Genomic DNA, 24619 nt, shown 5'->3' with positions numbered 1-24619 from the left:
TGGGCTACAGCATTGCAGCAGGCACTGACTGTGAGGGAAATGACTGCCCTGTACACTGACTCTCCTGATTAGAGTGCTCCAAACAGCATGACTCTTTCCCCTGTGGACCTAGAACAACAATCTCTGTCAAAGAAAATCCCATGCACTCTCTGTCCCCAAGTCATTGGTTCTCATTTAAAAAGCAATTGGTTTTTAGGACAGTGAAACTATTCTGTATGCCACTATAATGGTAGGTGCGTGCCATTATACATTTGTACAAACCCATAAAATGTACAACAGGAAGAGTGAATCCTAATGTGTAAACTATGGACTCTGGGTGATAATGATGTGTCAGCATGGGTTCATCAATTGAAACAAATATACCGCTCTAGTCAGGAAGGTTAATCATGGGAGAGGTATGCATATCTGGGAGTATGGGGGCTATGGAAAATCTCTGTACCTTCTGCTCAATATTGCTTTGAACATAAAACAGATCCAAAAAAAGAAAGTTGTTTTTCTTTAAGTGACAATAAACCTAAAAGGAAAGTTGGGGAGGGGGAAATTGGTTATGTAATATATTCACCTCAAGAGCTTAACTACTCGATGTTCTTTATTCTGGCTGTAATTGCAATCACCCTTCAATTGTATCCCTCCCACCCTGTAGTCAATGGTTAACAGCAAGATGAGACATAATGAGAAAGATCCAGGTGCTGGCATAGTAAGACCCATATTGAGTCCTAGTGCACAGTATGTACCTGGCACTCTGGGGCCAGGTCCTTGATAGCTAACTTCAGAATAAAGTCAACAAGGGAGTGATTCTTCCCCTTTTACATATGAGGAAAATGAATCTTAGTGAGGCTAAGTCTTGCCTAAGACTTATGTGACTAGTGACTTTATTAGAGAGATAAAGTGACATGCCTAAGCATGTGACATCTGGTTCCTGGATTAGCAGTATTAAATCCTTTATCTTTAACAACAGCAACAACTTTATTCTATTTCCATGTGAAACTGCCTGTAAATGTGACTTTTAGCCATGTACCAATTTAAACAGAATTCTATTATAAAGTTAGTAATAATAATCTATAGGTCTTTAGGAATTCATCTGAAAGAATTTTATATGAAGAGTATTTTATAACATAGTCTAATGCTATCATCAGAGCCAAGAGGACTACAAATGAGTGGACTAGCTATACTTGGAAACACTATCAGGGAAAACATTCAAATATTCAACTGGTAAAATGATAGTTCTTTGAGAAATAATAAAGATAAGCTTAGTAACCATGCACTGTACATCCTTTTGGGAAGCCAAACAATGTTTTAAACTAATCAGTAAAATAACTTTTTTTAATTGGGGAAATGAACAGACCCTGCTTGGTCACACTATTACACACTAAATCAATGCAAAACTGTCACCAACACCATATCGTAAGTTATATAGTGGCCAAACAGAGGAGAGCTATAAGAAGAAACTCCTGTGAGCTTATAACGCTTCACACCTCAGGAACTTGGAATCTTTTCCTAAAGCAAAATTCAAGGACTTGTCTTACTCATCCCGAAGCTGCAGTAGCCAAACTAAGCCCATATAAACCATATGCCACTGAGATCATAACCCCAAATGACATTAAATTAGGTCATGTATAATAATGTTTTCCCTACTAGCTCTCCACTGTCTGGTGATGATGCTTGTTATGAAAATGTATTAGTCAGCTTGGGCTGCTATAACAAAATACCATAGGCTGAGTAGCTTAAGCAACAGAAATTTGTTTCTCACAGTTCTGGAGGCTAGGAAGTCCCAGATCTAGGTTCTGGCTAATTCAGTTCCTGGTGAGGGCTCTCTTCCTGGCTTGCAGATGGCTGCCTTCTCACTGCAACCTCACATGACTGCTTTTTTAAATGCATATGTGGGGATAGAGAGAGAAAGAAAAAGCTCTCTGATGTCTCTTCTTCTAAGGATATTAATCCCATTAGGCCAGGACCCCACCCTCATGAACTCATCTAACCCTAATTATCTCCCAAAGGCTCCATTTCCAAATACCATCACATTGGAGATTAGGGCTTCAGCATATGAATGGGGGAAGGGGAAGCACAAACATTCAGTCCATAACAGAACATATGTTACCTGCCAATGTTCAATATAAAATTACCAATTATCTTCCCATTGTAATATAAAAGAGAAACATAAAAGACAATGAAGTAAAGAGAAAATGAAAAACTCTAGAATTTTGTGCAGTAATTAGCTGAAGGCATCTGGAAAAAAATTTCTAAGTGTCAACACCTCTGACAGAGGAGGAGGAGGAGATGCAGAGGGAGGAGATGAGGGAGGGGAAAAGGAAAAGAGAGAGGGAAAGCATCTTATTAGGTATGTAAACGAAAAATAAAATCCTAAGCCCCTCATCAACTGAACAGACCCCCTCTTCACCAAGGGGATTCCATAAAAACCTTAAAAACTTAGTTCTGAGCCATGACGGGATGGGAGGTCAGATGCACCTCGTTGTACTCCCTGTCTTTTATGGTTTAGACACAACAATTGACCAGCATTAATGTTAAAATAGAGATCCTAACACTGACAGAACAAAGCCTTTGTGGCAATAAGATACCTAATTATAAACAGGACCTAAGGCCATGCCAGGCAAGGGTTAAGTTGTGCACCCCTACACTTAAAGAATAAACTATATTCTGACCGCCACAAGGTTTTTCTTTTCCTCTAACAGCTAAACAAGCACCGGCCCTGACATAAGCAGTATTAAAACAATTTGCAGCTCCATCAGATGCTGACTAGCTGATTCCCTTGTTCCATCAGCCATTACTACAGTTTTGATTGGACAAGAGATTGATTTCAATAACTTTCTCCTGACAAGACTACCAACCATGGACTGGTTCTAGCCAGTTTATGGGGGCTGCACACTCACTCACCTTCCTGTCCTAAGAAGATCTTTTCATGAATAGGGCCTAATTGTAATATGTTTAAATATTAAGTCTCCATCCCAAAGTGAACATGGGCCATACATGCTACATGTATGTTTGTTCAAAATTCCTGTGTCCACAGAACTGTGTCAGAACCACCTTCACGAATATTCACAGCTCCTCCTATAAACTGTTGCATGTGGAAGTTTAGCCAATCTGTTCAGCATAAAGCTCCTACCCCCTACCCCTCCTCCTTTGAAGTGCCTGTCTCCAGTCTTTCTGGAGGCTATGCTTCCCAGGCTGTGGGATGGCCAACTTGCAGGCTATAAGCTTTACAAGAAATAAAGTCCCCTCTTCTTTTCTAAATGTATACACTGCATGCATTTAGTGTAAAAAAAATTATTTTTTTAATAAATAAGTTAATAGGTACCAGGCACTGTTCAAAGCACTGTATATACATTACTTATTGAATATTCACAGCACCTTTATGAGGTCTGTACTATGATCACCAATCCCATTTACATGTGGGGAATTGGAGGCAAAGAGAGCTCAAGCAGCTTGCTCAGAGTTATGCTGCTAGTAAATGAAGAACACGGGAGGCCAGCTCCAGAGCACTTGCTCCTGACCACTCCTCTCCACTGCCTTTCTAGCAATTCCTCCACCTTAGCACCTAGAAGAAGAGAGAAAAGTCCACAGAACATTATGCTAAAAGCTCCCTATAGAGTTCTCACTGGTACCTGAATTTCTATCATTAGTTTCATTTCCTTGGATTAAGGAATTGCCTCCTATGAAAATTAAATTCAAATATCATCTGAAATACATCTGAAATACAAGAAGCCACTGCCAATCATGACACTTGATAGTATGTGTTCTCTCCCAGGTTTGTGAGAACTCCCCTAAGAGGGCCATGCCCCACCTGCCCTGTAGTGAGATACTATAAGAATGAGAGTGCAGCCATCTGAAAGTAGATCAACAATAAAAAACTAAAATTACAAATATCTTTCATCACTGTAAATTGAGAGCATGGAGGGAGAATATACAATGGAGAAAGGTAATTTAATTAAAAAAAAAAAAAAAAAGACAGCCGGGTGCAGTGGCTCACACCTGTAATCACAGCACTTTGGGAGGCCGAGGTGGGCAGATCACCTGAGGTCAGGAGTTCAAGACCAGCCAGGCTAACATGGTGAAATTCCATCTCTACTAAAAATACAAAAATTAGCCAGGCATGGTGGTGCACGCCTGTAGTCTTGACTACTCAGGAGGCTGAGGCAGGAGCATTCCTCGAACCCTGGAGGCAGAGGTTGTAGTGAGCCGAGATCTCACCACTGCACTCCAGCCTGGGCAATAGAATGAGACTTCAACTCAAAAAAAAAGAAAAAAGAAGAAAAAAAAAAGGAGGCATCACACTACCTGACTTCAAACTATACTACAAGGCTACAGTAACCAAAACAGCATGGTAACAGGTAACAGGTACCAAAACAGAGACATAGACCAGTGGAACAGAATAAAGAACTCAGAAATAAGACCACACTTATATAACCACCTGATCTTTGGCAAATCTGACAGAAACAAGCAATGGGGAAAGGATTCTCTATTTAATAAATGGTGCTGGGAAAATTGGCCAGCCATATGCAGAAAACTGAAACTGGACCCCTTCCTTACACCTTTTACAAAAATTAACTCAGGATGGATTAAAGACTTAAATGTAAATCCCAAAACCATAACAGCCCTAGAAGAAAACCTAGGCAGTAGCATTCAGGACATAGGCGTGGGCAAATACTTCATGATGAAAACACCAAAAGCAATTGCAACAGAAGCCAAAATTGACAAATAGGATCTAATTAAGCTAAAGAGCTTCTGCACAGCAAAAGAAACTATCATCAGAGTGAACAGACAACCTATGGAATGGGGGAAAATGTTTGCAATCTACTCATCTAACAAAAGTCTAATATCCAGAATCTACAATGAACTTAAACAAATTTACAAGAAACAAACAAACAAACCCATCAAAAAGTGGGCAAAGATATGAACAGACACTTCTCAAAAGAAGACATTTATGCGGCCAAAAAAACATATGAAAAAAGCTCAACATCACTGATCATTACAGAAATGCAAATCAAAACCACAATGAGATACCATCTCACACCAGTCAGAATGGCAATTATTAAAAAGCCAAGAAACAATAGATGCTGGCAAGGCTGTGGAGAAATAGGAACACTTTTACACTGTTGGGGGGAAAGTAAATTAGTTCAACCATTGTGGAAGACAGTGTGGTGATTCCTCAAGGATCTAGAATGAGAAATACCATTTGACCCAGCAATCCCATTACTGGGTATACACCCAAAGGAATATAAATCATTCTACTATAAAGACACATGCACATGTATGTTTATTGCAGCACTATTTATAGCAAAGACATAGGACCAACCCAAATGCCCATCACTGATAGAGTGGATAAAGAAAATGTGGTGCATATACACCATGGAATACCATGCAGCCATAAAAAAGAATGAGATCATGTCCTTTGCAGGGACATAGATGAAGCTGGAAGCCATCACCCTCAGCAAACTAACACAGGAACAGAAAACCAAACACCACATGTTCTCACCCACAAGTGGGAGTTGAACAATGAGAACACATGGACATAGGGAGGGGAACAACGCACACACTGGGGCCTATCAGAGGGTAGAGGGCAAGGAGAGGGAGAGCATTAGGACAAATACCTAATGCATGCAGGGCTTAAAACCTAGATGACGGGTTGGTAGGTGCAGCAAACCACCATGGCACATGTACACCCATGTAACAAACCTGCACGTTCTGCACATGTATTCCAGAACTTTAACTTTAAAGAAAAAAGAAAAAATCTTGGGTGTACATCGGTAGAGACTTATTCTGTATCCTTCAAAGTATATCATGTGGGCAAGTACATATGGTGACTTCCGTGGAGCATAGAAGAAGCACTGTGGAGGTCCGTCTGGAGTTACAAAAGCCCTGGGCCAATAAACTCGGTTTCTTCTCCCAAAGATCTTTCATTTAGCACAGTCTTCCCTTCCACGAGCCCCAGACTACATAGAACAATGTTAACAGAACCATGTTAAGCTGAAGGAGATGATGACTAGAAAGCTAAACAGACTAAAAGTATTAAAAATGCACTTCCATAGAATAAATAAATGACAGGGAAACTGTTTTATTTCAGTTTTGTATTCATATGATGTTGGAGAGAGAAGGCAAGTCAGTTTAATAATGAGAGACTTCATATTATGTTTTTTCACTAAGGACAGCAGAACAATAACATGGGATTTCTTTATTCACTTTAATTCAGCAAACATAGGTTCTAATGAGTCTGGGGAAAAAGTAGCATTCTATAAAAAGGCCTAAGCTTTACCCTTTGTTGTACCTAATTCTTTCTGCCAAATTTGTATTTTCTACTAGACTGACAGTCCCACAAGTGTGGGGACTGGGCATGTCTTCTTTCACCCTGTGATACTCGGACAATGTTTGGCTCACAGTAGGTGTTCAATAAATATGTTAAATTAATTAATGTTGATCACTGTGGTTTTGTGTGAATCATGAGACTGATGAAGATGTATTAGAAACTACATTCAAGGAGAAGTGGGGAAAAAAAGAAACCACATTCAAAGTAGGCAAGGGGGAAAGCTCTTCTCCTCCTATGCATATAATACTTAATGTAATATTGATGGTTATAGATTATTAAAAGGTTGAGAGAGGGAAGGGCCTTAGAGCAGTCAGGAGAGAAGAAAAAAAGTAAGGATAAGAGTAAGCTTTTCTCTTTAAGGTATTTCCATTAGCTCAAAGCAGACAAAAAATTGAAAACCAAATTGTTCCTTAAAATAAGAATATATATATATATATATATATATATATATATATATATATATATATATATATATATATATAAACAAGGTCTCATTCTGTTACCCAGGTTGGAAAGCAGTGGCATGTTCACCGTTCACTGCAGCCTCGACCTCTTGGGCTCAAGTGATCTTCCCACCTCAGCCTTCCAAGTAGCTGGGACTATGGAAGCACCACCACACCCTGCTATTTTTTTTTTTTTTTTTTTTGAGAGACGGAGTCTCACTATGTTGCCCAGGCTGGTCTCAAACTCCTTAGTTCAAGTGATCCTCCCGCCTTGGGCCCCCACAGTGCTGGGATTCCAGGTGTGAACCATGGCACCACGCCAAAAGTAAGAATATTTGATTACATTTTAGAGATAGAAAGTATTCAAGTATAGATTCACTTATACATATACAGCATTATGTAGACAAAGAATGAAGAATTAGACTCCCCAACTACTTTCCAGTACTCTGCCCATTGACCTCTGGTTCCTCTGATTTGTGATCTATGCTTATTGTTTCTCCATTCTATTCAGTCATATTTTTAACTTTTTTAATCCAGCAATTTTTATTCTGCATGTTAGTCTAATAATTACGGAATTCATTGCTGACTCAGAGAATCTAAACAGGTTAATTCAGGCAAATGCCCGAAGCAGGGATAAGCAGATAAAGATGTCATAAGGACACAGTTTACAAATGTTATACATAATAGATGCTGTGATTCCATAGATTAAGGCAAACACCATTGTAACCTAAAAGTGAATTCTGTAAATGGGGTAACTATCTCTGTTTTAAAAGCTCCATAGATGCTAAAGTTTATTCAAGGAACTAGTAAACCATGTTTCTTTCTATGTTTTCATATTTCCTGTGGCTTCAAGAGGCCATTGTCATAAATAGTAAATTACAGTTTTTGTTTTTGTTTATCCCTGTTCTCACATCTGGAAACTGGAAACTAATCATACTCCTGGTTCACACAGCCTGGATATTTTGCTCATTGTGGAATATATATTAAAATGAGAGGCAATAAGCAGGTGTTTATTTTATAACAGAACATGGAAGGTTAGAGGTAGAAGGGTTCTTAGAGATCACTCAGTCCAACACCCCCATCTTTTTCACTTTAGCAACCTGAAGCTGAAAGAAGGGTTGACGATTGCCCTTTGTCCCTGAGTATGCATTTGGCAAGGGATATATTTTGAAATATTTGTGTCTCAAAGAATTCTCTTTCCTCAAACTTGCTGATCACCAGGAGTAATAGAGGTTGCCTTACACACTTTCATATGTCTTATAGACATTATGTGTCTGGGAAGCCTGAAGTTAAAAATAAAATAATATTACCCCAAACAAAACTTACTTGGTTCCGGGGTTGGCAACAGCAGGGGATTGAGAAACTATCCTCTGGTAGCTGACATTTAATGGGACTTATAAAAAAGAAAAGCTGTATTATTGCTGTGTAACTGTGAAGCACAGGACACACATGTCTACTGTGGAGCCTTCTAGCATGCCAGTAGAGCAGAGAGAATAGCCGCCTGTACATGTCACTGAGTCTACAGCTGACCAAGCCCACCCATTCCCCTCTTGGGAGCTTTCCTGCTAGCATCTTGTTCCTCAGATATCAGGTGCTCTGCCTAGCTGTAACAAAACAGTGCTGAGGGCAGGAGAGTTTTAGCTCCCTCTCCCATCTAGAAACCAAATGGACTCCCTGGAAGAAAAACAAGTATGTCAAATTTCTCAAAGGTAGTGACTTGTCATGTGGGATCCCCAGTTCCTTAGAAGGTCTACCAAAGAGTGGAACAATTTTCAGTATTTCAAACGGAAATCACACATTGAGCCACAAGGCTACACAGACTAAGTATAGCATCAAGTTTCTTTCCTTTGGCTTAAATTCCGTCACTCAGTGGGATTATCTCAGGCTTATCAGGAGCTCTGAAGAGTAGTTAAAGATATCTCAGACAACTAAAAATGAAGAAATCATTACCCATTAGATGACAATAAGGTCCCTTGAAAGACAAGATGAAATAATAAGAGAGATTTCTGTGGGTATGAGAAAGACTCAGAAGTACTGGTTTTAAACCAAAGAAAACTTTATATCCAAAGATTCCTCAAAAAATTATCTAAGAGAAACCCCCTCCCCTATTCCAGCTCTCCCCTCCGGTTCCATGACAATCACTCACTGGGCAGGGCAGGGAGGTTTTCCTGTGACTGGTGGCTTGCAGTCGGTGGCGTTCCCGGAGTCCTCTCTGATCCTCCTCTCTCCAGCTGTGGCCCCAGAAGCTGCTCATCCATTTGGCAAAAGACACATCATCATCATCATCATCTTTGTGCTCCATGTAAAGGTGATGCCAAATACTGAAGGCCTGTCCCTAAATGCGACAGAGGGAAATATCACCCAACAGGGCTGACAATGAAACCCAGGATCTCTCCCAAAAGACAAAATGAAACTGGTCTTTTTAAAATGGTCTCCGATACTGGCATCCTTAAAGGAGAAAGATTTACTAAACAACCACTTCATCATCAGGCAGCCTTGGGCAATGTCTATTTATAAATTGTGCAGCCCACATTCCCCTCCCCTTGTCTTTTTAAATTGAGAGGCTTTCTAATCCTTCCATTGCTGGGGCTTGTGCCTCACAGCCTAAGGGTGGGATGCAGAGTCCACTGCCTGGTTTTCCCTGTGCTTTGCTGCCAATGACATGTGATGGCATCTCCAGCTGTCAATGATGATGGAGCATGACCCTCACAATATGCCTGTCAGCTCCAGGCAAGCTCTGAAATGGGGCCACATACAAGGAACAGACTGACCACAGCTTGCAAGGTAGCCAGCTGTTGCCATGTCATATCTGGAGCTAGATACTCTCCTAATAAAATGATATTGATATAAAATCCAGCTCCTAGATCAAAAGGAGTAGTTTTTTAAATTGAGGTATTACTTATATATGTACACATGTAAATAATATACAAGTACGTGTAAAATGTACAAATCATAAGTGCACAGCTTGATGAATTTTTATATACATATACCCCTGTGTTACCACCACCATGCAGGTAAAGACATAAAACATTGCCAGCACCCCAACTGGCTCCATGTATCCCCCTTCCAATCCATACTCCCTTCAAAAGTTTACCATTAATGATCTGTGTCACCATAGATTAATTTGCTTGTTTTTGAACTTACTTTCAATGGCATTATACAGTATGCATTATCCTGTGTTATTCAACATGATGTCAGTGAGATATATCCATGTTTTTGCAGTAACAATAGTTGACGCTGTGTGTAGTATTGCATTGCATCAACATGTCACAATTTTTTAAAAATTCAGTCTACTAGTGATGGTCATTTTAGGCTGTCATTTAGGTTACTTCTAGTTGGGGCTTTTATAAAGTTTATATAAATTTTATAGTCCCTGTCTTTTAGTGGGCATTTTTTTCAAAGTAAAGAGAATATTACATTTATGGAACTCCTACTTTGCATCAAGTATGGAGCCAAGTATTCCATATACGCTAATTTTCTTTTTTTCTTTTTTTTTTTTTGAGATGGAGTCTCGTCCTGTTGCCCAGGCTGGAGTACAATGGCATGATCTCAGCTCACTGCAACCCCCACTTCCCAGGTTCAAATGATTCTCCTGCCTCAGGCTCCCAAGTAGCTGGGATTACGGGCACCCACCACCAAGCCCAGCTAATTTTTGTATTTTAAGTAGAGATGGGGTTTCACCATGTTGGCCAGGCTTGTCTCAAACTCTTGACCTCGTGATCTGCCTGTCTCAGCCTCCCAAAGTGCTGGGATTACACGCGTGAGCCACCACGCCAGATCCCATATATGCTAATTTTCTTATAACAACCCTGTGACTGGGAGATTTGTATGACATTTTACTGATAAGGAAGTTGAGATGCAAATAGATCACCCCTTGCCAAAGTGAAATTAATACTAAGCGGCAAAATCAAGTTTGAAGCGGGGAATAGAAAAACAAAGTCCAGGCTCTTTCCACCATCCTGCCAGTATTTCAAGAGAACTTGGAGAAGTCTCGCATTTTCAATCAGGAATTCTTGGCCATTTGCCCTACGAAAATCCTTCCTTGAGCTGCAAAAAGATAAGCTTGATAACTATGACCAATGTTTACAGAGCATGGCATCACAACTTTTATGTTACTAAGGAAAAGTAGCCAAAGCTTAACATATCTTCTAACATTTTTATTTTTTGCAAATGGCCAAGACTTCCTGTGTTATCACAACTCATTGCTGGAGGAATTAAGCACATCCTGTGGGACTTCACTGGAACAAGACTTTTTGGAAGAGTGTGCCTAATTTCCTCCAGACTGTACCCCATATGCCTTTTCCATTTTCTTTCTCAGTTTTACCTTGTATCCTTTCAACATAATAAATCTTATCCATGAGTACAACTATATGCTGAGTTCTAGCAAATCCCCAAACTGGGGATGACAGCTACTATCAGAAGTGGGATTTGCTAAAAAAACAACCCAAACCACTGAACTATGGCTAAAGCAGGGTTTGGGAAAAGGAAGGATGAAGAAGACATGATGGTGAACCTTCAATGCCCAGTGGCTACCTAGCCATCTATAGTATGAATCAGCTGCTGAGATGATGTCTGTTGTGAGAGGTAAAAGTTACCTACAGAATTCAAAATGACAGATCCAACCCCAGGACAATTGGTTCATTAGATTCCTTGGCTGCTTTTGGCCACGGGTAGCTAAAATGAAGGGATTAAAAAGTGCAGCCTGGCTGATGCCTTTGGGTTTTGTTCTCTCCTCTAGATGAGAAGAGAAAGGGCCCAAACATTCCCAAAACACATTTTGCATGGGCCAAAAATGTTAAAAGTTTGCATTGCTTTCTCCTCCAAGTGGGAAGGAAGAGAAAGCAATGCAAACTTTTAACGTTTTTGTTAAGTCAGTTCCAAGAGCTAGAACAAGGCTTTAGATAAACCAGCAAGAAAGGGGAGGGGGGAAATAATACCCCATCGCCTCATACAGCAGCCCCTTGCATTCCAACTGGGAATCTCTCACCAGGTATAATGTGAATCATATACGCTGAATTTACCACTTTACTACTAGGAGTTTGAGTAAACCTGCAATGAAAAAAAGAGAGATTTTTTAAAATGGCTTCTATTCTGTGTCTATAGCACCTGAATATATGATAAAAACTGATGTAAAATATTATATGCTTATACTTTCATAAATGCTTGAGGGATTACCCCAGTTAGGGAAAGCTACTCTATAAGAAGTATTAGAAGAATATGCACCTCTTGATTTTTGTTGCTACTAGATGAATTACAATGTAAACTCTGAGTATTTAAGTACTGAAATCTCCATAACTGATTATTTTTGCTATAATTTTTGCCTGTTGGAGCCTATGGGAAAAGGTAGACAACATAGAAGCATAGCTCATCTCCACTGGAAAAAACACCTTTTGAATTTTAAAAAGCAGTTTTTAGTTTGCTAATAAGTTCTTATATAATCAGGTGTCTGTCTGACCCTTAGAGGCTAATGATTTTCCAGCCTAACGTGCATATTTTGGAGTGGGTCAATTGGACTCTAAATCTGACCGTGTAAACAGGGCTTAGAAAACATTTCTTGTCAATTGGACTTGGAACAAAGCCGTTTGGCCCTGTATCTTCTTGGCTTTGCTGCTGCTATAGAGGAAAAGTTGCTAGCTAGTTTGGAATCCTGAATTCATAGATCCTAATTGCCTGGAGCTTATGCTAAGCTTGATACTGTCTGTGAGGGATTGTTCCAATCTCTGAAGACAGGCGTAGGCTCAAGGAACATAATTCAGCCTCGGGGACTATTGCAGGTTTGTTTACAACACTCCTCTGTGGGGCCATAAACTCTGCTATCCGAATCACATGGATCACTTGCAGATGCCTACGGGAAAGGGCTTGCTCTTTGATAGGACCATTTGAAACCGAACTAGTTGCACCAGAAATGATGAATCCCAAGAACCCTGTCAAAAGCTGCAAGCTAGGGGAGAGCACATCACAGAGAGTGGGACCCCTCCATCCACTCCTGACAGATAGGGCTCTTGACCCCTTATGGGATAGCTCACTGCTATTAATTTGTGTTCAGCTTGCCAGAGTATTTTGAAATTTGCAATGATGGATTGATAGTCTGACTCTTCTTTGCTCACCTCTCTTCTTAGTTAGGCAGTTTGATTGATAAATGCAGCTGTTCCTAGACAGAAATTGATATTTTCTAGGCTGCTTCCTGAATAAATAATCAGGACAAAAGGGATAGGGTAATGTAAACACAGTCTGAAAATTTTGAAAATTCAGGATTTTGTCCTAGCCCATTCTGGAACATGATGTGTTTTTTCTGGTTGTTACATGAAACAATGATTTTCTATGTAAATCCTTTTGTCCCTCTTACACCCAACCCTTTCTACCCTTCCTTATAAATGGTCTAGATAAGAATAAACAATGGCTGGGGAAAAGGTAAAGTTATGATTTCTGAATGAATCACACTATTGCATAATAGCAAAGAAGAAAAAAACCCGGCACCTGGGGAGATGCAGGAGAAAGAGGGCATTAATGATCTGTTTTTCAGAACTGCTCCTGAACACCAGTGATCCCTTTCCAGGATGCTGGCTTGATTCAAACTGACTGCTGAGCCTATGATCACACCCAACAGCACTGACTATGAGATAGCAGCAACTGGCCCCAGCTCCTCTAGTTTCCAAGAACACCTCCAGATATTGTCCACACTTAGGAGAAAAACTGAAAGAAACAAACTGCCTTCAGGCAGTCCTTCTAAAACAAAGAACTTAGCTGAATTATTTAGACTGGACAGGGAAACCATAGGCTGAATTCCCCACGGTGGGAAGACACACTGGGGGCTCTGCTAACCTGTGCTACCTGACTAACGCATGTTTTCATTGGGGTAACTGAACTTGAATTCTTTGTTTCTAAGAATGCTCTCTGGGATTGTCCTTCCTGTGTACCTATCTTGACTATCTTGGCCTGCCTCAGCCCAAGAAGGCATGCAGGTCAGCTTCAATTTACTACCCAGAGATGTGCTGTGCTCGAATTGATGCCTCGGGCTAGGTTAAAAAAGGTTAATACAAAACCTTAAGGAGAAAGCCACCTGGCTTCCTAAGATTAACCTTTATAGCTAATGGGATTTGTTTTAATTGGCTAAATCCAAGACCTCTGGATTTTAAGTAAAGTCAATACTCAGGTTAGTTTCATACTGTGTCGTGGGACACTACTGTTAATAATTTTGCTATAAAATGCCTTGACCAAGGAGATCAGCTACACAGAAAATGGTTAATATAGCAGGCCTGAAACTGCCCATCCTTAGAAGGACCTGCTTGCAAGGTTAGCCCTTAGCTGGCTTCTGGGAACTTGGCTGGTAAACAGTTCCTGCAGTGACATAACATTTTCCTTAAATTATAAGAGTGGTCTAAACTGCCCGACTAATGTGGTTTATGCTGAACAACTGACTTTCTTCTGCAAATCTGGAGTTTGTGTATGTGGTAGGCAGAGTGTGCCTACCTGACCAGCACCCAGTCATTATCTGGGGTACTGAGTCTCTATTGAGCCTCCATAATAAACACTTGCCTTGCACAATGGCCACAAAGCATTGCTGGAGGAATTAGGTGTGTACTTTGTAACTCCACTGGGAGAGGACTCTTGGAAGCTTGACCCAGATTTCCTCCAGACTTTCCCTATGCAACTTTTATCTTTACTTGTTTTGCTTTGTATCTTTGCACTATAATAAATCTTAGCCATGAGTACAACTATATGCTGAGCCTTATAAGTCCTTTTTAGCAAGTCGTGAACCTCAGGTTGGTCCTGGGGAATCTCCTAATACTGGAAGGAAAGGGAACTCTTCAAATCTTTGATCAAAAATTCTCCCAAAACAACAAGATGTAAATATACCCCAGAAAGAAAAAGGGATTTGGACTACATTAAAGAAAATGAGACTTCCAACTCCATTTTTTCTCCTAGTTAAGCCTATTTCTTCTTTAAAAACATGAGGAAAAGATAGCTCCCTACTCTACTACGCTAAGGTTCTTAAAACAAACATGGGGCAGCAAAAAAGCACTAGCAGAAAGTGTCAAGTCTTTCAGCACTGGGAGAGATGCTCTTCTGGGCTTTCTTGGGAGCCCTGGCCTGAGGGGAGGCTCCAGCCCACTCCTGAAGCCCAGATACCTGCTTTCCCTAGTAACGGCCCTGGGCACCTGCCTTGAGGAGATGCTGCTGGGGATGCGTACCAAAGGGAGCTGCGCTTTTTACCCTGCACCTTTTTGAGCCTGCAGGATGATGCAAAAGCTGCCAAGTGACTGCGACAGCTGCAGCTTCTGAGCTGAGAATTTGAGTATCATGCTGACACTCAAGAAAATGAGAATTTTCTTATCATGCTGAATGTGAAAAAAAAAATACCTTCTCTTACAGAATAGGAAGCTTGCAGTGTGTGTATTCTCATAAAGTGAACGGATATCATGGGTGCCCAGGTAATCAGTGAAAATGATCCTTGGGCTGTCAAGTGGTTTCTCAGTGCCCTCTCTCTTAGGAGACTATGCAATTATGAGAAAATGATTTTCCCTTTATTTATTTTTATAGAGATGAGGTCTCACTACGTTGCCCAGGCTGGTCTCGAACTCCTGGACTCAAGCAATCCTCCAACCTCAGCCTCCCAAAGTGTTAGGATTACAGGAGTGAGCCACCACGCCCATCCGATTTTCCCTTTATTTATTTCACTGTCCCAGTGCCATGCCGTTGTTGCAGTAGTAACTTATTTTTTTTTATTTCGTTTTTCTTTTTCTTAACAGTTAAGGGAAAGCATCATTCCTCTTACTGATTTCAAGCTTGACTGAACCGGTCTCATTCTAGAAAGGAAATGCTATGTCCAGAAGAGCTAAACTGCTACATCTTTTTTTCTTTTTAACGGTCAAAATACATCAGTGGTTTTGAGTCAGTTTTTACTTCCCAGAAAGCAGTGCTTAAATACTTGAAACTGTGTGCTATGTTCTATTCAATGACCTGATTGTCAGACTCTTGTTTAGTGGCAACGTGTCATAGTATAATCATCCATTTCCTTGTATATTATCAAGTTATACTGTGAAGTCTGCCACTCTTTTGAGGTGGTCATCAAAGACACACCTTTTTTAACCAAGTGTCCTAAAGCATGTCTCTAAGGGTATATCACCATTATTTTTTATTCTAAAAAGCCGTGAAGCATGTATTATGAGAACTGTTTTTAAACTATGCCACTAGTGGTGCAAAAAAAAAAAAAAAAAAAAAAAAAAAGAGGAGACAAAGCAAGGTATGTTTTCAGAGATTTGCCTATAAAATATTGGTTATATAAATATCCAGTTACCTTGGCATTAAGCATCATTAAATTCTTCAGGATTTTGGCTAAAGGTGGGCTTCATAATAGTTGTTAGACATTGGAAGAGATTTTGAAGAGCCAATAAATCATCTCTTACACAAGAGACCTTCAAACACAGCCCTGATTCTCATCTGCCAAAGATGAAATCTCTGTAGCTTTGTCTCCAAAAGTGTTATTAGTTGGTTGACCTCTCAAGGTCTCTTCAATCCCTAGGCACCAATTATTCTAAAACAGACGAGCTACTACTGTTAAAATTTACTACTATGTAAAAAACTTTTTGGGAGGCTGAGGCAGGCGGATCACAAGGTCAGGAGATCAAGACCATCCTGGCTAACACAGTGAAACCCTGTCTCCACTAAAAATGCAAAAAATTAGCTGGGCTTGGTGGCAGGTGCCTATAGTCCCAGCTACTCAGGAGGCTGAGGCAGGAGAATGGCCTGAACCCGGGAGGCGAAGCTTGCAGTGAGCCCAGATCATGCCACTTCACTCCAGCCTGGGCGACTAAGCAAGACTCCATAGCAAAAAAAAAAAAAAAAAAAGACTTTATCAATCCAGTTCATCAGTGTGCTATACTTCAGAAAGGCTTCCTTTCAGTTATTAACTGCAATGTCACAGAATCTAAAGGTAATGCCTCAGCACTTCTGTTGAATCTACAAGCCTCTCCATAAGAAGTGATCCAAACAAGAACTGGGGGAATTGAGAGTCCTGAGTGCCTCATATTTGAGAGGGACAAAATGCTGCAATTTACAATAAAGGAGAGGATCATCATACACATAAAGAAAACTGACAAAATACAACATTTAGGAAAATAAATTGCAAAAACTAAAGTTTGAGTTAAAAAATAATGTGAAGTTTTCAGACTATTAAAACAAAAAAACTTGAACCTCCATAACATTCTTTTCTGAGGATCAAATATCACATGTTATTAGCAGGAATAAGGTCTTTATGGAAAGGTATATGGCAAGATGCATTTAAAAGCTTTAAAAAAAATTTGCATCCTTTGACCCAGAAATTTCTCTCTTTTTTACAAGTGGGTAGTAAGAGGTACATACAAGGATGTTTGTTCACATAACATTATTTAAAATAGCAAAAACTTGTAAGATGTGGAAACATCTTAAAAGTACAACAACTGGAGATCAGGCTAATACATTACGATATATTTATATAACAGAATTCTATGCAATCATCAAAAATCATAGGACTTAATGACACAGGAAACTTCTCAAAATAAAATACAATACAGGGTGATAATTAATTTTGTGTGTCAACTTCACTGGTCCATGGTGCCCAGATATTTGGTCAAACATTAATTCTGGATGTTTCTGTGAGGCTGTTTTTGATGAGATTTACATTTAAATAGGTGGAATTTGAGTAAAGCAGATTTCCCTCCATACTGTGGGTGGACCTGAATAGAATACAGATTAACTGCCCCAGCAAGAGAATCAAGAAAGAGACCCACATATATTTCTAGCTGAATTTTGTAAAGAGTACAAAAGCAATTCAATGGAGGAAGGATAGGCTTTTCAACAAATGGTTTTGGAGCAATTGAACATCCACAGTTTAAAAAAATGAGTCTTCAGCCCGGTGCAGTGACTCATGACTGTAATCTCAGCACTCTGGGAGGCCAAGACAAGAGGATCACTTGAGCTCAGGAGATTGAGGCTCCAGTGAGCCGTGACTATCCCACTGCACTCCAGCCTGGGAAACAGAGCAAGACTCTTATCTCAAAAAATAAAAAAATAACATTACACAAAAATGAACTCAAAATGGATCACAGACTTAAATATAAATTGTAAACTGTAAGACTTTTAGAAAAAAAAAAGCATGGGAGAAAATCTTTGGGATCAAGAGCTAGGCAAGAGTTCTTAGACTTGACACCAAAAGCATAATCTATAAAAGGAAAAATTGATAAATTATACATCACTGAATTAAAAACTTTTGCTCTATGAAAGACCCTGTTAAGAGGATGAAAAAAGTAAGATAAAGACTGGTGGAAAATGTTTACAAACCATGTATCTGACACAGGACTAGTAACTAGAATACATTTTTTAAAAAACTTTCAAATTTCAACATTAAGAGAACACATAATCCAATCAGAAAACAAAGGCCAGGCATGGTGGCTCACACCTGTAATCCCAGCACTTTGGGAGGCCAAGATATGAGGATCACTTGAGCCCAGGAGTTTGAGACAAGCCTAGGCAACATAGGGAGACCCTGTCTCTATAAAATTTTTTTTAAAAAAACTAGCCAGGCATGGTGGCATGCACCTGTAGTCCCAGCTACTCAGGAGGCTGAGGTGGGAGGATCGCTTGAGCTCGGGAGGTTGAGGCTACAGTGAACTGTGATCATGCCACTTTATTCCACCATGAGTGACAGTAAAGACACCATCTCAAAAAGAAGGAAGGAAGGAAGGAAGGAAGGCAGGCAGGCAAAGAAAAGAAAACAAGAAAACAAGCCAATGACATCAAAGACATTTCACTGAGAAGGATATACAAATGGTGTCTATGGCCATAACGCCCTGAATGTACCCAATCTCATCTGATCTCAGAAGATATACAAATGGCAAATAAGTACAGGAAAAGATGTTCAACATCATTAGCCATTAGGTAAAGACAAACTAAAATCAGAATGCAATATTACTACATACCTATCAGAATGTGTAAAATTTAAAAAGAGTATTAACACCAAATGTTGAAGAGGAAGCAGAGAAGCTGGATCATTCATACATTGCTGATGGGAATAAAAAAAGGTACAGCCACTTTGAAAAATAGTTTGCCTGTTTCTTCTAAAACAAAAAATACATCTACCATATGACCCAGTGATTGTACTCTTAGGCAATTATCCTAGAGAAATTAAAACCTATGTTCATGCAAGAGCCTGCACATGAATGTACAGGCTTGATACACACAACCTGACACATTCAAGAGAACTATGCTGCGTAAAAAAGTTCAATCTCAAAAGGAATTTTATAATTATATAAATAAAATATAATTCCATATAAATAGAAATAATTTTTATATAGCATTCTTTAAATAACACAATCATAGAGATGAGGAACTGATTTAGCAGTTCCTATGGGTTAGAGATTGAGGAAGTGGCTCTCAGAGTTTAGTTTGAGGAAGCTTTCTGATGATAGACCAGTTCTGTACTTTGATTGTGACAGTTACACAAAGCTATGGATGTGATAAAATTGCACAGAACTACACACACACATACACACACACACAAATGAGTGTGTGCATAGCTAGTGAAATTTGAGTAAGTTATATGGATTATACCAATGTCAATTTCCTGGTTTTGACATTATACTATAGTTATACAAGATGTCAACATTAGAAGAGTAGGTGAAGGATGCATGGGACTTCTGTGTACACTTATTTGCAACTTCTTGTCATTATTTCATAATAAAAAGTAAAAAAGAAAAATGACTTATATCAAGAAAAAGAAACTTCTCTAAATGGGTAGCTACAGGACCAAAATGCTGTTGAGTTAGAGGTACTCTGGGAAGAAAGCAACGATGACAGCATAGGTTTTTAATCTGTTTGAATCCCCACATGAAAACTAATAGAGCAACTGTAGCAGAAAAAACCTATGGACAGCTCTACGACAAAACTAAGTGACAAGATGACCCCTCAAGATGTGCCCTACTCCCAAGTGCAGGTTGTGGGGTCAAACCACCAACAGCTATAGACCTGGTATGGTTGTCCATGCAGGAGGAAGAAGAAAGAAGCAACACGGCATCCTCTAGACCTGAGAACAGGAGAACCACAAAATAGCCAATAGTTTGGAAAGCACAGGGAACCAATTTGAGAATAGTAGCTGAAACTGGGAGGGATTTGTTCTCTCCAATACTGAGTGAGTACAAAAAGCCTGTGGTAAGAAGGATTGAAAGGGCTGAACTGTCCAGCCACCATAAACTCTCAAATCTGACCTTCTAGGACAAAGCCTCACACTGAGGAGAAACTGTGAAGAGTGGAATCAAAACTGCAATAGACAGGGACAACAGAGATAAAGAAAAGAGCGGATCTAAAACCAAATGGGATGGGGAACACAGCCAGCACATCTTAGAAAGCAAGCTGCCATATTTGTAAACACTATACAAACACAACAGAAGAGGAAGCTCTGTGGAATTTCAAAAACTTTCCTGCACCCTATGTCATTCTAAGAGTTCAAGAATTTTACATAAAAATGAGGGACAGAAAATATCAAGGTAGAATCTCACACAGCATTTCTGTTTTAAAAATGAGAATACAGACCTACAGACAATGAAAGCATGACCAAAAAAAAAAAGTACCTACAAAACAGATCAATGTTGGTAGCCACTATTTCAAAATGAACTAAATGATAGTTACAAAGTGATGTGAAGCGGAGCATGGTGGCTCATGCCTGTAATCCTAGCACTTTGGGAGGCCGAGGCAGTTGGATCACTTGGGGTCAGGAGTTCGAAACCAGCCTGGCCAACATCGTTGGCTAAAAATACAAAAAAAAAAAAAAATTAGCCGGGTGTGGTGGTGGGTGCCTGTAATCCCAGCTACTCAGGAGACTGAGGCAGGAGATTTGCTTGAACCCAGGAGGCAGAGGTTGCATTGAGCCGAGCTCACACCACTGCACTCCAGCCAGGGCGACAGAGTGAGATTCCATCTCAAAAAAAAAAAAAAAAAATGGTATGAGAAATGAAAGAACAAAACAGAATTAGAATAACATACAAATGATATGATAAAACTCAGGAAAGAATTAGAAATAAAGAGAAAAAATCATGTCAGAAAAGGTTAAGCTAGAAGGAATGAGTAAAAAATGCAACCAATAATGTCTCCAAATAAATACAAGATAAAAAAAGATTATTTTAACAAATGAAGAAAGAAATCAAAAGAATTCAAGACTAACTAACAATTATAAAGATATGCAAAGGAGAGTGACATTATAGATAATGAACTCCCCGAAAAAGAAAAGCAAAGCAAGGGAACAGAGCAAATACTGTAATTCAAATAAACGCTTTCCTGAAAAGAAAAAAAGATTTAAAACTACGTATTGAAAAAGTATACCGGCAGTGCGAGGTGTCTCACGTCTGTAATCCCAGCATTTTGAAGGGCCAAGGTGGGTGGATCATTTGAGGTCACGAGTTCAAGACCGGCCTGACCAACATGGTGAAACCTCATCTCTACTAAAAATACAAAAAAAATTAGCAGGGCATGGTGGCGTGGGCCTGTAATCCCAGCTACTTGGGAGGCTGAGGCAGGAGAAGTGCTTAGCCTGGGAGGCGGAGGTTGCAGTGAGCTGAGATCGCACCAGTGCACTACAGTCTGGGTGTCAGAGTGAGATCCTGTCTCGAAAAAAAAAAAAAAAAAAAAAAGAAAAAAGAAAGAAAGAAAGAAAAAGAAAAAGTATACTGTATATTTGAAAATATCGTCATACAACCAACACCAGGACATATCATAATATGTTTGCTATATTTTAAAAGAGAAAGAAAGATTCCTTGAGGGAACCTGGGCAGAGATAGGGAGAGGGAGGTAATAGACAGCATGAGTTATAAGGAAAAGACGATTAGATTATCATCAGACTTTTTGCCAGCAATGTTTTATGGCCAAGGAAAATATATGAACTTAAGATACCAAGGAAACATTGCTTTGGAAGTATGGTTGCCAAAAAGCATACTGTCAGCACAATTAGAATAAAAAATATGCACAGACACAAAAAGATAAACAAGGCAAGAAAGAAGGTATGAGCTAGGAATTTTATACCTAGCAAAATCAACTGTGGCAGACATGAATTTGAATGGGACAGGTCAAGATGAACTCAAGGGGAACAACATACACCTGGGCCTGTTGCTGGGTTAGGGGAAAGGGGAGGGAGAGCATTAGGACAAATACCTAATGCATGCGGGGCTTAAAACCTAGATGATGGGTTGATAGGTGCAACAAACCACCATGGCACATGTATACCTATGTAACAAACCTGCACATTCTGCACATGTATCCTGGAACTTAATGTAAAAAAAAAAAAAAATCAAAACAAAAAAATGTATTTATATATTTAACCAAAATATTTTTTTTAAAAAAAGGACAGACCAAAAACACCACACACACACACACACACACACACACACACACACACACACACACACAAAAAAGATATACTCAAGGTATTATTTATATCCTGACTCTGTCCATTGAAAAGGCCTAGAAGCAAGGGCCAACCCAAATGCAATGAACACCCAGATTATGGCCTTGAAATGCCAATTCTCATTAAACAACAACAGCAGCAGCAGCAACAAAAGATTAAAAAATAAATAAAGACAAAGAAAACAAAACAAAACAGGGCTTCCTGAAGAAATGGCTGATTCCTGGTCTGTTGCAGGAAATAAACAAAATGACCTTGGAACCTCTTGACATAATATAGAACAAGGAAACTATGAATGACAACTAGGGCTTTTTTGTTTGTTTTTCAAAAAGACTCAAAGCCACAGATGGAACAGTTTGAATTTCAATTTCCCCTTATAAAAATATTCCAACTAATAAATGAAAATGAGAGAATAGAAAAGAATTAGAATATTGCCATTTTGTGATCACCATGGAATTAGTGAGCATTAAGCATAAGTGGCTGCTTATATTACAGAGAGACAATCAGACATTATCTGCCTTCTGCCTTGCAAAGGAATCAAACCTTGGTCTAGTCCAGACTCTAGGTTCATCTACCAATATAGATTACAAGAAACTTAGAAAACATATCAATTTTTGCTAATGGGCAAGACTAAACGACAGCATCTGGGGTTGCACATTTGGGTGACAATACAACCTTTTTTTTAAAGCAAGTAAACTATTGTTGATAGTCAAGATAATGGTTACTTATAAGTGGTAGAAGAGGATTTGTGATTTGGATAGCAGTCATAGAAGAAGCTTCTAAGGTGGTGGCAAAGTTCCAATTCTTTGCTTGAATGGTGAAAGATAACATCAAGGGTGTTATCTTTATAATAATCCATCCATTCTTCTACTGGTAAGCTTTTATGTAATTTCCACTTTTTGCTATTACAAGCGATGGTGCCCTAAACAGGTTTTCTTGTGTGTGCAGTGTGTTGTCTATCTAGAGGTGAAATTTCTGGATTGGAGGTATCTGAATCTTCCATTTTATTAAACACTAACAGTTTAGAAAAGGAACCCACAAAAAATACTCATAATGGTTGCCTCTCTAAAGTAGTTCAATCAATTTACAATTCCATTTTTTGACATCCTTGCCTCACTGGTACTGCTGGATTTAAAAACTGTTGCCAATATTGTAGATGCAAAATGAAATTTCATTGTTGTTTTAATTTGTATTCCCCTATTTATTGGTGAGATTAAGGATGTTTTCATATGTATATTTTCCATTTGCACTTCTTTTACAAGTAGCTTGTTTATATCCTTTGCTCATTTTTCTTCAGAGTTGTCTTTTTCTTATTGATCTATAGGAGTTCTACATGTATTCTGTATATTAACCTTCTGTAAGTTTTAAACATCACAAATACCTTTTCCCAGTATGTCTTATCTTCCGACTCTTTTGCAGTATATGTTTTCTGTAAGTTAAAATCTTTTAATGTACCCAAACTGATCTTTTTCTTCACAAGCTTATCCTTTACCCTATCACAAAGTCATCAAGATATTCTCTCACATTTTCTCCTAAAAGTTTAAAGTTTTAGTTTTCTGGGTTTTTAATCTATTTGCCATTTTGTGTATGGTATGCGGTAGAATTACCCTTTTTGTTATTTAGGTATCTTTATTAGTTTTCTTTGGTTGTATTTCAAATTATCACAAACTTAGCAGCTTAAAACCACACTAATTTATTATCCTACGGTCTCCAAGATTTAGAATTCTGAACACAGGTTAGCTGAGTCCTCTATTAAGGGTCTCATTAGACTGAAATCAAGGTATTTGAGGCTCATGTGTCTTCCAAGTCCACCCATCATTGGAAGAATTCAGTTTCTTCTAGTTGTAGGACATTTTCTCACTGGTTGTTGGCCAGGGATGACTCTAAGCTCCTAGAGTTCCTTGCTATGTGGCCCCTCCATAAGCAGTTTGCTTCTTCACAGCCAGCAGGAAAAATCTCTTTCACTTCCAATCTCTTTGACCTCTCTGAGGGGCTCTCTTGATTAGATCAGGTATACGCAGGATCATCTGCCCTTTGATTAACTTTTTTTTTTTTTTTAAGACTGAGTCTAGCTTTATTGCCCAGGCTGGAGTGCAGCGGTGCGATCTCGGCTCACTGCAACCTCTGCCTCCCAGGTTCAAGCGATTCTCCTGCCTCGGTCTCCCAAGTAGCTGGGATTACAGGTGCCTGCCACCATGCCCAGCTAATTTTTGTATTTTTAGTAGAGACGAGGTTTCACGATGTTGTCCAGGCTGGTCTCAACCTCCTGACCTCAAGTGATCCACCCACCTCGGCCTCCCAAAGTGCTGGGATCACAGGCATGAGCCACCGCACCTGACCACTTTCATTAACCTTGATTAAACCATCTTGAACCCTTCAGACCAACCCATTCAGCAGCTGAATAACACGGAGTAATCTCTGTTGATATTA

The 24619-nt window shown here is 39.3% G+C and overlaps 1 protein-coding gene across 1 annotated transcript in view; it reads right to left on the bottom strand.

Annotated features, from left to right (window-relative positions):
- LNP1 (leukemia NUP98 fusion partner 1) overlaps window positions 1-24619 on the bottom strand; it is a 54781-nt gene that overhangs the window by 17526 nt on the left and 12636 nt on the right. The window contains exon 2 of the mRNA NM_001085451.2: window positions 8909-9097. Within this exon, the coding sequence (NP_001078920.1) occupies window positions 8909-9064 (156 nt within the window). The 5' untranslated portion in view covers window positions 9065-9097. The remainder of the gene's footprint in view (window positions 1-8908; window positions 9098-24619) is intronic.

The sequence above is a fragment of the Homo sapiens genome, chromosome 3 (genome assembly GCF_000001405.40).
Source record: "Homo sapiens chromosome 3, GRCh38.p14 Primary Assembly".
Classification (NCBI taxonomy): Eukaryota; Metazoa; Chordata; class Mammalia; order Primates; family Hominidae; genus Homo; species Homo sapiens.
The sequence above is the reverse complement of the archived record's forward strand: the minus strand, read 5'-3'. Positions and strand labels throughout refer to the sequence as shown.